This window comes from Homo sapiens, chromosome 3, assembly GCF_000001405.40.
Source record: "Homo sapiens chromosome 3, GRCh38.p14 Primary Assembly".
Lineage (NCBI taxonomy): Eukaryota > Metazoa > Chordata > Mammalia > Primates > Hominidae > Homo > Homo sapiens.
Genome location: NC_000003.12, coordinates 68,809,285 through 68,822,986, shown reverse-complemented (window position 1 = coordinate 68,822,986; position 13,702 = coordinate 68,809,285). Strand labels below are relative to the sequence as shown.

The 13,702-nt window shown below is 39.6% G+C and overlaps 1 protein-coding gene across 4 annotated transcripts in view, besides 1 other annotated feature; it reads left to right on the top strand.

Moving 5' to 3' along the window:
* TAFA4 (TAFA chemokine like family member 4) overlaps positions 1-13,702 on the top strand; it is a 200,782-nt gene that overhangs the window by 109,561 nt on the left and 77,519 nt on the right. The window lies entirely within an intron of this gene.
* Positions 11,878-12,377: an enhancer, noted in NCBI's record as "H3K4me1 hESC enhancer chr3:68859761-68860260 (GRCh37/hg19 assembly coordinates)". NCBI's record gives its function as "activates a minimal SCP1, AML or CMV promoter by ChIP-STARR-seq in primed H9 embryonic stem cells {active_cell/tissue: H9 hESC(primed)}" and the evidence as "EXISTENCE:reporter gene assay evidence [ECO:0000049][PMID:30033119]".

Below are 13,702 nucleotides of genomic sequence, written 5' to 3'. Positions count from 1 at the left end.
ATTCATTTGGGAAATGCCAAAGCCATTCTTTTAAACCCAACTGAGTTTATTTGCGCTTCATAGTTTGGAATGTTATTTGTAAAGCAGACTTACCAGGATAGATGAGTTAGCAAATAAACAATTTTAGAGTAGAATTGAGAGTGGTGAAGGTAAAATTAATTCCATCTTAGAATGCATTAACACAATGAAAGAAATGGCATGATAAGAATTTTAGCAGCCAGGCGCAGTGGCTCATGCCTACAATCCTGGCACTTTGGGAGGCTGAGGCGGGTGGATGGCTTGAGTTCAGGAGCTGGAAACCAGCCTCCCTGAAACATGGTTAAACTCCATCTCTACAAAAGACAAAAATTAACTGGGCATGGTGGCACTCCTCAGTGGTCCAGGCTACTCGGGAGGCCGAGGTGGAAGGATCGCTTAAGCCCAGGGAGGTCAAGGCTGCAATGAGCTATGATTGCACCCCTGCACTTTAGCCTGGGTGACAAAGTGTGACTTTATCTCAGAGAGAGAGAGAAAAAAAGAATTTTAGCAATGTTGCCTCTTGGAGGTAATTTTGGATAAAAAAGAGTGGATAAGTCAAATTTCTTGTCCAGGAGTGAATAAGAAAAAAGGCCAAGTAGATTGTGCTGGCCATTGTCACTCAGCAGGACACACAACTGAGCTTCAATCAGAGTTCATAATAGAGTAGCTTATTGGAGAGCATATCAAATAGCTCATTTGGTGAAATTTAGGCTTATATCTGGCTTATGGCATTGCACATAGTAGGCATCCAAATGCTCGTTAAATTGTTTTGACTCAATAACAGTTTATATCCCATTCACTGTTTGGGTTACATTTTTTTTAAAAAAGTCAATATTTGTTTTCACTGGATAATTCAGAAAGACAGCTGTGGCAGCCACAAGTAAACAAGTAGCTCTTCACAGCTGTCCACACCTGCCATATAAAAAGAGCAAGCATAATACATTTTTATTTTGTTAACATGAGGCTCAATAGGATTGCAAAATTAATACCGGTAGAGATTTTCTACAGGCGGTTTCCATTGCAGAATTACCGGAGAAGCATTTGCAAATACCTTTTTAAGTGATGGATTTGGCAGCACAGTCTTTAAATAGAAGACAGAGAGCTGCTAGTTACTTATCATGGTTTAAATATGTCAATATTTTCTCATTTTTCTTTGAATAAAAAGTAACATAAGGGTAAAACACCTGAAAGAAGTATAGTACTTGGGAATGCACCCTTCAGGCTTCACTCTTTATGGCAAGGTTGAAAATCCAGGGTAGCAGTGGTGTTTATTGCCAAGGTAGTGCCTTGAAGAACTCATATAATTCACAAAGCGTATCATTCAGGACTTGTTTTCTCTTAAAAAAAAAAAAAGCACACTTTGGGAGGCCGAGGCGGGTGGATCACGAGGTCAGGAGATCGAGACCATCCTGGCTAACACGGTGAAACCCCGTCTCTACTAAAAATACAAAAAATTAGCCGGGCGAGGTGGCGGGCGCCTGTAGTCCCAGCTACTCGGGAGGCTGAGGCAGGAGAATGGCGTGAACCCCAGGGGGTGGAGCCTGCAGTGAGCCGAGATTGCGCCACTGCACTCCAGCCTGGGCGACAGCGAGACTCCGTCTCAAAAAAAAAAAAAAAAAAAAAAAAAAAAAAAAAAAAAAAAGCAGGGAGGTTGTCTACATAGTGTATAAATCTACAGCCATCATATCTTATTGTTGTTTTGATGCTGTGTTTATATCTTAGGATTATCTCTAATAGCTGTGAGTCCTCACTGAAATTAACAGCGTGGTATATTTTGGCAGTGGTTCAAAAGTTATTGATTTTTGGTTATGTTTTTCAGCATCACTGAATGTATGGAAGACATTATTATAGAATTTGTAAAAGATTTTAACCTGGGAGTATTGGCTGTTAAAACACACAGCACATTAGTGACTAAAATGATTTACAGAATGCATTTCCATACTACTAAGTCCGTGGGTATTTGTACACTACATCATTTGGTACCACCTTGTGGTACAGCATAAACACAGTTTGTAATTCCTTTGGTTTACCAATTTCGAAACAAAATTCTTTGCATTTTCTAAAATTATGGTGTATTTACATTTTTAAAATTTTGTGCATAACATGAGACTTTAATAATTTTTTTAATTGACAAGTAAAAGTCATAGGTATTTATGGTGTACAAATGATGTTTTGATATAGCTATACATTGTGGAGAGGCTAAATCAAGCTATGTAACATAGGTATTCCCTCACATATTTACCATTTTTTTGTGATGAGAACACTTAACATCATTTCTCTTAGCAATTTTCTTTTTCTTTTTTGAAACAGGGTCTTGTTCTGCTGCCCAGCTTGGAGTACAGTGGTGCTATCATGGCTCACTGCAGCCTTGACCTCCTAGGTTCAAGTAATCCTTCCAAGTAGATGGAATTATAGGCACATGCCATCATGCCCAGCTAATTTTTTATTTTTTTTTTGGTAGGATGAGGTTTCACTATGTTGTTCAGGCTGCTCTCAAACTCCTGGTCTCAAATTCCCCTGCCTCAACCTCCCAAAGTGCTGAGATTGCAGGCGTCAGCTACCGTGCCCAGCCTAGCAATTTTTAAGTCTGTAATATATCGTTATTAACTGTAGCCACCATGATGTGCAGTAGATCACTTGAACTTATTCTCCCTGAAATTTTATGTCATTTGACAAATATCTTATCTCTCAGCCTCTGGCAAGCTCCATTTTACTCCCTGTTTCTATGAGTTCAACATTTTTAGATTCCACAAGTAACTGAGGTCATACAATATTTGTCTTTTTGCGCCTGACTTACTTCACTTAACATAATGTCCTCCAGGTTCATCTGTGTTATTCCAAATGACATGATTTTCTTCTTTTGTAAGGCTGAATAGTATTGCATTGTGTATATATGCCACATTTTCTTTATTCCTTCATTCATTTATGTACACTTAGGTTGATTTCATATCTTGGTTATTGTGAATAGTGCTGCAATGAATGTGGGAGTACAGGTATCTCTCTGACATACTGGTTTCATATTCTTTGGATGCATATCTGGTAGTGGGATGGCTAAATCATGGTAGTTCTATTTTTAATTTTGTCAAAGGAATGTCGTACTGTTTTCCATAATGGCTTTATTAATTTACATCCCCACCAACAGTGTGTAAGCGTTCCCTTTTCTCTGCATCCTCACCAACACTTAGCCTTTGTCTTTTTGATAATAGCCGTCCTAACTGGTGTGAAGGGATATCTTACTGTGGCTTTAATTTACATTTCTGTGATGATTAATGATGGTGAGAATGACTTGTCAGCCATTTATATGAGAAATATCTATTCAGGTCCTTGGACTGTTTAAAAAAATCAGGCTTATAGGTTTTCTTACTATTGAGTTGTTTGAGTTCTTATATATTTTGGTTATTAGCTCCCTGTCTGGTTCTTGTTTTGCAAATACAATCCATGAGTTGTCTCTTCCTTCAGAACAATAGAGGCCATAGATGACAAATACCCAAACTCAATGGTGAAAGGTTGAAAGCTTTTCCTCTAAGATTAGAAACAAGATAAGGAGGCCCACACTTACTGCTTTCACTCAACATAATACTGGAGTTGTAGACAGAGCAGTTAGACAAGACAAAGAAACACAGGCATCCTTGTTTTATTGCACTTTGCTTTGTTGTGCTTTGCAGATGCTTTTTTTTTTTTTTTTTTTTTTTTTAATTAAAGACAGGGTCTCACTCTGTCACCCAGGCAGGTGTGCAGTAGTGCAATTTCAGCTCACTGCAACCTCCGCCTCCAGGCTCAAGTGGTTCTCCCACCTCAGCCTTCAGATAGCTGGGACTGCAGGTTTGTGTCACCATGCCAGCTGATTTTTGCAGTTTTTGTAGAGATGGGCTTTCGCCATGTTGCCCAGGCTGGTCTTGAGCTCCTGACTTTGAGTGATCCACCTGCCTTGGCCTCCCAAAATGCTGGGATTGTAGGCATATGAGCCACCACACCCAGCCTAAATATTGCAATTTTTACAAATTAAAGTTTTGTGGCAACCCTATGTCCAGCAAGTCTATCAGTGCCATTTTTCCAGCAGCATGTGCTTATTTCATGTATCTATGTCCCATTTGGGTAATTCTCATAATATTTCAAACTTTTCATTATTATGATTATCTGTTATGGTGATCTGTGATCAGTGATCTTTGACATTACTATTGTAATTGTTTTGGGGTACACCATGCACTGTGCCCAGGTAAGATGGTGAACTTATTTGATGAGTATTGTGTGTTTTCTGATTACTCCACTGACCAGCCGTTCTCCCATCTCTCTCACCCTCCTTAGGCCTTCCTATTCCCTGAGACACAATAATATTACAATTAGGCCACTTGATAACCCTACATTGGCTCCTAAGTCTTCAAGTGAAAGGAAGAGTCACATGTGTCTCCTTTTGAATCAAAAGCTACAGGTGATAAAGCTTAGTGAGAAAGGCATTTTGAAATACGCTGGGATATGCTGAAAGCTAGGCCTCTTGCACCAAACAGTGAAGTTGTGGATGCAAGGGAAAAATTCTTGAAGGAAATTAACAGTGCCATACCAGTGAACACATGAATGATTTCTTTTTGAAGCAAAACAGCCTTATTGAAGATATGGAGAAAGTTTAATCTGGATAGATCAAACCAGCCTCAACACTCTAGTAACATGCTTAATCCAAAGCAAACCCCTAACTCTCTTAAGTTCTTTGAAGGCTGAAGGTAGGTGAGGAAGCTCCAGAAGAGAAGTTGGAAGGTAGCAGAGGTTTGAGGATTAAAGAAAGAAGCCATTTCCATAACATGAAAACTGCAGGATGAAGTAGCCAAGTGCTGATATAGAAGCTGCAGGAAGTTATCCAGAAGATCTAGCTAAGATCATTGATGAAAGTGGCTACGCTACACAATAGATTTTCAAGGGAGGCAAAACAGACTTCTATTGGAAGAAAATGCCATCTAGGACTTTCCTAGCTAGAAAGTAGTCACTGCTAGGCTCCAAAGCTTCAAAGAACAGGCTGACTCTCTTGTTAGAGGAAATGCAGGTGACTTTAAGTTGAACCCAGTGCTCATTTACAACCCTGAAAATCCTAGGGCCCTCAGAGTTATGCTAAGTCTACTCTGCCTATGAGTAGAGCCAGGATGACAGCACATATCTTTATAGTATGGTTTTCTGAGTATTTTAAGCCCATTGTTGAGAACTACTGCCCAGAAAAAAAAGAGATTCCTTTTCAAATATTACTGCTCATTGACAATGCCCCTGGTCACCCAACAGGCCTGATGGAGATGTACAAGGAGATTAATGTTGTTTTCATGCTTGCTAATACAACAACCATTCTGCAGTCCATGGACCAAGGAATAATTTCAACTTACAAGTCTTATTACTTAAGAAATACATTTCCTAGCATTATAGCTGCTTTATATAGTTATTTTCTCTGATGGATCTAGCCAAAGGAAATTGAAAACCTTCTGGAAATGATTCACCATTCTAGATACCACTAAGAACATTCATGATTTATGGGAGGAGGTCAAAAGATCAACATTAACAGGAGTTGGCAGGAAGTTGATTCCAGCTCTCATGGATGACTATGAGGAATTTGAGACTTCTGTGGAGGAAGTAACTGCAGATGTAGTAGAAATAGCAAGAGAGTTAGAAGTAGAGTCTGAAGATGTTACTGAATTTCTGTAATCTTATGATAAAATTAGCGGATGAGGGGTTGCTTCTTACGGATGAACAAAGAAAGTAGTTTCCTGAGATGGAATTTTGTGAAGATTCTGTGAACATTGTTGAAATGACAATAAAGGATTTAGTATATTACATAAATTTATTTGATAAAACGCAGGGTTTGAGAGAATTGACTTCAGTTTTGAAAGTTCTGTGGATAAGATGTTTTCAAACAGCATCACATGCTACAGAGAAATCTTTCATGAAAGAGTTAATTGATGCATCAAACCTCATTATTGTCTTACTTTAAGAAATTGCCACAGCCACCCCAGCCTTTGACAACCACAACTTTGATCAGTCAGCAGCCACCAATATCAAGGCAAGACCTTCCACCAGCATAAAGATTATGACATATTGAAGGCTCAAATTATTGTTAGCATTTTTTAGCAATAATGTGTTTTTCAGTTAAGTGTTTTAGACATAAAGTTATTGAATAGACTACAGTAGAATATAAACATAACTTTTATATGCACGGGGAAATAAAAACTGTGTGACTTGCTTTCTTGCAACATTTGCTCTATTCTGGTGGTCTGAAACTGAACTTGCAATATCTCAGAGATACGCCTGTAAAAGGTACCCAAGTCAGAAAGGAAGAAGTTAAATGGTCTCTGTTGGCAGATCACATGATATTATATATGAAAAACCCTGAGGATTCCATAAAAACTATTAGAACTAATAAATGAATTCAGTAAAGTTGCATAATCAAAATCAACATACAAAAATCAGCATTTCTGTACAGTAGCAACACATCGGAAAAGAAATCAAGAAAACAATCCCATTTATAGTAGCTACAAAAAATATATAAGGATAAATTTACTCAAGTACATAAACGATTTTTCAACTGGAAACTACAAAACACTGATGAAAGAATTTGAAGAAGTGGCAAATAAATGGAAAGATATCCCATGCTCATGGATTGGAAGAATTACTATTTTTTTTTAATTATACATTAAGTTTTAGGGTACATGTGCACAACGTGCAGGTTTGTTACATATGTATACATGTGCCATGTTGGTGTGCTGCACCCATTAACTCGTCACTTAACATTAGGTATATCTCCTAATGCTATCCCTCCTCCCTCCCCCCACTCCACAACAGGCCCCGGTGTGTGATGTTCCCCTTCCTGTGTCCATGTGTTCTCATTGTTCAAGTCCCACCTATGAGTTAGAACATGCGGTGTTTGGTTTTTTGTCCTTGTGATAGTTTGCTGAGAATGATGGTTTCCAGCTACATATATGTCCCTACAAAGGACATGAACGCATCCTTTTTTATGGCTGCATAGTGTCCCATGGTGTATATGTGCCACATTTTCTTAATCCAGTCTATCATTGTTGGACATTTGGGTTGGTTCGAAGTCTTTGGTATTGTGAATAGTGCCACAATAAACATATGTGTGCATGTGTCTTTATAGCAGCATGATTTTATAGTCCTTTGGGTATATACCCAGTAATGGGATTGCTGGGTCAAATGGTATTTCTAGTTCTAGATTCTTGAGGAATCGCCACACTGACTTCCACAATGGTTGAACTAGTTTGCAGTCCCACCAACAGTGTAAAAGTGTTCCTATTTCTCCACATCCTCTCCAGCACCTGTTGTTTCCTGACTTTTTAATGATTGCCATTCTAACTGGTGTGAGATGGCATCTCGTTGTGGTTTTGATTTGCATTTCTCCGATGGCCAGTGATAATGAACATTTTTTCATGCGTCTTTTGGCTGCATAAATGTCTTCTTTTGAGAAGTGTCTGTTCATATCCTTTGCCCACTTTTTGATGGGGTTGTTTGTTTTTTTCTTGTAAATTTGTTTGAGTTTATTGTAGATTCTGGATATTAGCCCTTTGTCAGATGAGTAGATTGCAAAAATTTTCTCCCATTCTGTACGCTGCCTGTTCACTCTGATGGTAGTTTCTTTTGCTGTGCAGAAGCTCTTTACTTTAATGAGATCCCATTTGTCAATTTTGGCTTTTGTTGCCATTGCTTTGGTGTTTTAGACATGAAGTCCTTGCCCATGCCTATGTCCTGAATGGTATTGCCTAGGTTTTCTTCTAGGGTTTTTATGGTTTTAGGTCTAACATTTAAGTCTTTAATCCATCCTGAATTAATTTTTATATAAGATGTAAGGAAGGGATCCAGTTTCAGCTTTCTACATATGGCTAGCCAGGTTTCCCAGCACCATTTATTAAATAGAGAATCCTTTCCCCATTTCTTGTTTTTGTCAGGTTTGTCAAAGATCAGATAGTTATAGATATGTGGCATTATTTTTGAGGCCTCGGTTCTGTTCCATTGGTCTATATCTCTGTTTTGGTACCTGCACCATGCTGTTTTGGTTACTGTAGCCTTGTAGTATAGTTTGAAGTCAGGTAGTGTGATGCCTCCAGCTTTGTTCTTTTGGCTTAGGATTGACTTGGCAATGCGGGCTGTTTTTGGGTTCCATATGAACTTTAAAGTAGTTTTTTCCAATTCTGTGAAGAAAGTCATTGGTAGCTTGATGGGTATGGCGTTGAATCTATAAATTACCTTGGGCAGTATGGCCATTTTCACGATACTGATTCTTCCTACCCATGAGCATGGAATGTTCTTCCATGTGTTTGTATCCTCTTTTATTTCATTGAGCAGTGGTTTGTAGTTCTCCTTGAAGAGGTCCTTCACATTCCTTGTAAGTTGGATTCCTAGGTATTTTATTCTCTTTGAGGCGATTGTGAATGGGAGTTCACTCATGATTTGGCTGTCTGTCTGTTATTGGTGTATAAGAATGCTTGTGATTTTTGCACACTGATTTTGTATCCTGAGACTTTGCTGAAGTTGCCTATCAGCTTAAGGAGATTTTGGGCTGAGACAATGGCGTTTTCTAGATATACAATCATGTCATCTGCAAACAGGGACAATTTGACTTCCTCTTTTCCTAATTGAATACCCTTTATTTCCTTCTCCTGCCTGATTGCCCTGGCCAGAACTTCCAACACTATGTTGACCAGGAGTGGTGAGAGAGGCCATCCCTGTCTTGTACCAGTTTTCAAAGGGAATGCTTCCCATTTTTGCCCATTCAGTATGATATTGGCTGTGGGTTTGTCATAGATAGCTGTTATTATTTTGAGATACATCCCATCAATACCTAATTTATTGAGAGTTTTTAGCGTGAAGGGTTGTTGAATTTTGTCAAAGGCCTTTTCTGCGTCTGTTGAGATAATCATGTGGTTTTTGTCTTTGGTTCTATTTATATGCTGGATTACATTTATTGATTTGCGTATGTTGAACCAGCCTTGCATCCCAGGGATGAAGCCAACTTGATCATGGTGGATAAGGTTTTTGATGTGCTGCTGGATTCGGTTTGCCAGTATTTTATTGAGGATTTTTGCCTCGATGTTCATCAGTGATATTGGTCTAAAATTCTCTTTTTTTGTTGTGTCTCTGCCAGGCTTTGGTATCAGGATGATGCTGTCCTCATAAAATGAGTTAGGGAGGATTCCCTCTTTTTCTATTGATTGGAATAGTTTCAGAAGGAATGGTACCAGTTCCTCCTTGTACCTCTGGTAGAATTCGGCTGTGAATCCATCTGGTCCTGGACTTTTTTTGGTTGGTAAGCTATTAATTATTGCCTCAATTTCAGAGCCTTTTGTTGATCTATTCAGACATTCAACTTCTTCCTGGTTTAGTCTTGGGAGGGTGTACGTGTTGAGGAATTTATCCATTTCTTCTAGATTTTCTAGTTTATTTGCATAGAGGTGTTTATACTATTCTCTGATGGTAGTTTGTATTTCTGTGGGATCGGTGGTGGTATCCTGTTATCATTTTTTATTGTGTCTATTTGATTCTTCTCTTTTCTTCTTTATTAGTCTTGCTAGTGGTCTATCAATTTTGTTCTTTTCAAAAAACCAGCTCCTGGATTCATTGAGTTTTTGAAGGGTTCTCTGTGTCTCTGTCTCCTTCAGTTCTGCTCTCATAGTTATTTCTTGCCTTCTGCTAGCTTTTGAATGTGTTTGCTCTTGCTTCTCTAGTTCTTTTAATTGTGATGTTAGGGTGTCAATTTTAGATCTTTCCTGCTTCTCTTTTGGGCATTTAGTGCTATAAATTTCCCTCTACACACTGCTTTGAATGTGTCCCAGAGATTCTGGTATGTTGTGTCTTTGTTCTCGTCGGTTTCAAAGAACATCTTTATTTCTGCCTTCATTTCGTTATGTACCCAGTAGTCACTCAGGAGCAGGTTGTTCAGTTTCCATGTAGTTGAGCGGTTTTGAGTGAGTTTCTTAATCCTGAGTTCTAGTTTGATTGCACTGTGGTCTGAGAGACAGTTTGTTATAATTTCTGTTCTTTTACATTTGCTGAGGAGTACTTTACTTCCAAGTATGTGGTCAATTTTGGAATAGGTGTGGTGTGGTGCTGAAAAGAATGTATATTCTGTTGATTTGGGGTGGAGAGTTCTGTAGACGTCTATTAGGTCTGCTTGGTGCAGAGCTGAGTTCAATTCCTGGGTATCCTTCTTAACTTTCGGTCTTGTTGATCTGTCTAATGTTGACAGCCGGGTGTTAAAGTCTCCCATTATTATTGTGTGGCAGTCTAAATCTCTTTCTAGGTCTCTAAGGACTTGCTTTATGAATCTGGGTGCTCCTGTATTGGGTGCATATATATTTAGGATAGTTAGCTCTTCTTGTTAAATTGATCCCTTTACCATTATGTAATGGCCTTCTTTGTCTCTTCTTATTTTTGTTGGTTTAAAGTCTGTTTTATCAGAGACTAGGATTGCAACCCCTGCCTTCTTTTGTTTTCCATTTGCTTGGTAGATCTTCCTCCATCCTTTTATTTTGAGCCTATATGTGTCTCTGTGTGTGAGATGGATTTCCTGAATACAGCACACTGATGGGTCTTGACTCTTGATCCAATTTGCCAGTCTGTGTCTTTTAATTGGAGCATTTAGCCCACTTACATTTAAGGTTAATATTGTTATGTGTGAATTTGATCCTGTCATTTTGATGTTAGCTGGTTATTTTGCTCGTTAGTTGATGCAGTTTCTTCCTTGCCTCAATGGTCTTTACAAGTTGGCATGTTTTTGCAGTAGCTGGTACCTGTTGTCCCTTTCCATGTTTAGTGCTTCTTTCAGGAGCTCTTTTAGCACAGGCCTGGTGGTGACAGAATCTCTCAGCATTTGCTTATCTGTAAAGGATTTCATTTCTTCTTCACTTATGAAGCTTAGTTTGGCTGGATATGAAATTCTGGGTTGAAAATTCTTTTCTTTAAGAATGTTGAATATTGGCCCCCACTCTCTTCTGGCTTGTAGAGTTTCTGCTGAGAGATCCGCTGTTAGTCTGATGGGCTTCCCTTTGTGGGTAACCCGACCTTTCTCTCTGGCTGCCCTTAACATTTTTTCCTTCATTTCAACTTTGGTGAATCTGACAATTGTGTGTCTTGGAGTTGCTCTTCTCAAGGAGTATCTTTGTGGTGTTCTCTGTATTTCCTGAATTTGAATGTTGGCCTGCCTTGGTAGATTGGGAAAGTTCTCCTGCGTAATATCCTGCAGAATGTTTTCCAACTTGGTTCCATTCTCCCCGTCACTTTCAGATACACCAATCAGACATAGATTTGGTCTTTTCACATAGTCCCATATTTCTTGGAGGCTTTGTTCATTTCTTTTTATTCTTTTTTCTCTAAACTTCTCTTCTCGCTTCATTTCATTCTTTTGATCTTCCATCACTGATACCCTTTCTTCCAGTTGATTGAATTGGCTACTAAGGCTTGTGCATTCATCATGTAGTTCTCGTGCCATGGTTTTCAGCTCCATCAGGTCCTTTAAGGACTTCTCTGCATTGGTTATTCTAGTTATCCATTCTTCTAATTTTGTTTTCAAGGTTTTCAACTTCTTTGCCATGGGTTCGAACTTACTCCTTTAGCTCAGAGTAGTTTGATCATCTGAAGCCTTCTTGTCTCAGCTTGTCGAAGTCATTCTCTGTCCAGCTTTGTTCCGTTGCTGGTGAGGAGCTGCGTTCCTTTGGAGGAGGAGAGGTACTCTGATTTTTAGAGTTTCCAGTTTTTCTGCTCTGTTTTTTCCCCATCTTTGTGGTATTATCTACCCTTTGGTCTTTGATGATGGTGACCGACAGATGGGGTTTTGGTGTGGATGTCCTTTCTGTTTGTTAGTTTTCCTTCTAACAGTCAGGACCCTCAGCTGCAGGTCTGTTGGAGTTTGCTGGAGGTCCACTCCAGACCCTGTTTGCCTGGGTATCAGCAGCGGAGGCTGCAGAACAGTGGATATTGGTGAACAGCAAATGTTGCAGCCTGATTGTTCCTCTGGAAGTTTTGTCTCAGAGGAGTACCTGGCCGTGTGAGGTGTCAGACTGCCCCTACTGGGGGTTGCCTCCCAGTTAGGCTACTCGGGGATTAGGGACCCACTTGAGGTTGCAGTCTGTCCGTTCTCAGATATCCAGCTGTGTGCTGGGAGAACCACTACTCTCTTCAAAGCTGTGAGACAGGGACATTTAAGTCTGCAGAGTTTTCTGCTGCCTTTTGTTTGGCTATGCCCTGCCCCCAGAGGTGGAGTCTGCAGAGGCAGACAGTCCTCCTTGAGCTGCGGTGGGCTCCACCCAGTTCGAGCTTCCTGGCTGCTTTGTTTACCTACTCAAGCCTCGGCAATGGTGGGCGCCCCTCCCCCAGCCTCACTGCCACCTTGCAGTTTGATCTCAGACTGCTGTGCTAGCAATGAGTGAGGCTCTGTGGGCATAGGACCCTCAGAGCCAGGCGCAGGATATAATCTTCTGGTCTGCTGTTTGCTAAGACCGTTGGAAAAGTGCAGTATTAGGGTGGGAGTGACCCGATTTTCCAGATGCCGTCTGTCACCCCTTTCTTTGACTAGGAAAGGGAATTCCCTGATGCCTTGTGCTTCCCAGGTGAGGTGATGTCTTGCCCTGCTTCGGCTCATGCTTGGTGCGCTGCATCCACTGTCTTGCACCCACTGTCCGACACTCCCCAGTGAGATGAACCCATTACCTCAGTTGGAAATGCAGAAATCACCCATCTTCTGCGTCTCTCATGCTGGGAGCTGTAGACTGGAGCCAAGATGGCCGAATAGGAACAGCTCCAGAATTACTATTGTTGAAATGTCCACATTACCCAAAGCAATGTACAGATTCCATGCATTCCTTATCAAATTCCAATCACATTTTTTATAGAGGTAGGAAAAAAGAATTCTAAAATTCATGTGGAACCACAAAAGACCCTGAATAGTCAAAGCAATCTTGAACAAAAAGAACAAAGCCAGAGGCATCATGATTAGAAAATCTGTTACCCGATTTGAAAATCTGCTACAAGCAAGTAATTAAACAACCTGGTACTGGCGTAAAAACAGATACATAGACCAAGGGGACAGAATAAAGTGCCCAGAAATAAATCCACACATTTACGGACCAATGATTTTTGACAAAGGTGCCAAAACACAATGCCAACACACAGTGGGGAAAGGGCAATCTCTCAATAAATGGTGCTGGGAGAACTGGGTATCCACATGCAGAAGGATGAAATTAGATTCTCGTCTCACACCATGTACAAAAATCAACTCAAAATGCAGTTAAAGATAAGACTATGAAACCATAAAACTGCTAGAAGAAAAAACGGGGAAAAGCTTTATGACACTGATCTGGGCAATAATTTTTTTTGGCTGTGATCCCAGAGCACTGGCAACAAAAGAAAAAATAGAAAAAGGAGATTACATCAAACTAGAGAACTTCTGCACGGCAAAAAAAAAAAAAAAAAAAATCAACATAGTGGAGACATTAATAATATTTTAGATTTCACTATTTAAAATTTGCATATTTCAAAACTAAAAAAAATCACAAACAAATCATATTGGCAACCAATTATATTTCTAGACAAGTAACTATTCCCATACTGTTATAGTGAACTTTAATGTTCAAGTTATTTTGTTATACTGGAATTTCATTGCACTGGTAAACCAAATTTAAAAACTGGTGGCTTCAATGAAACATTTATT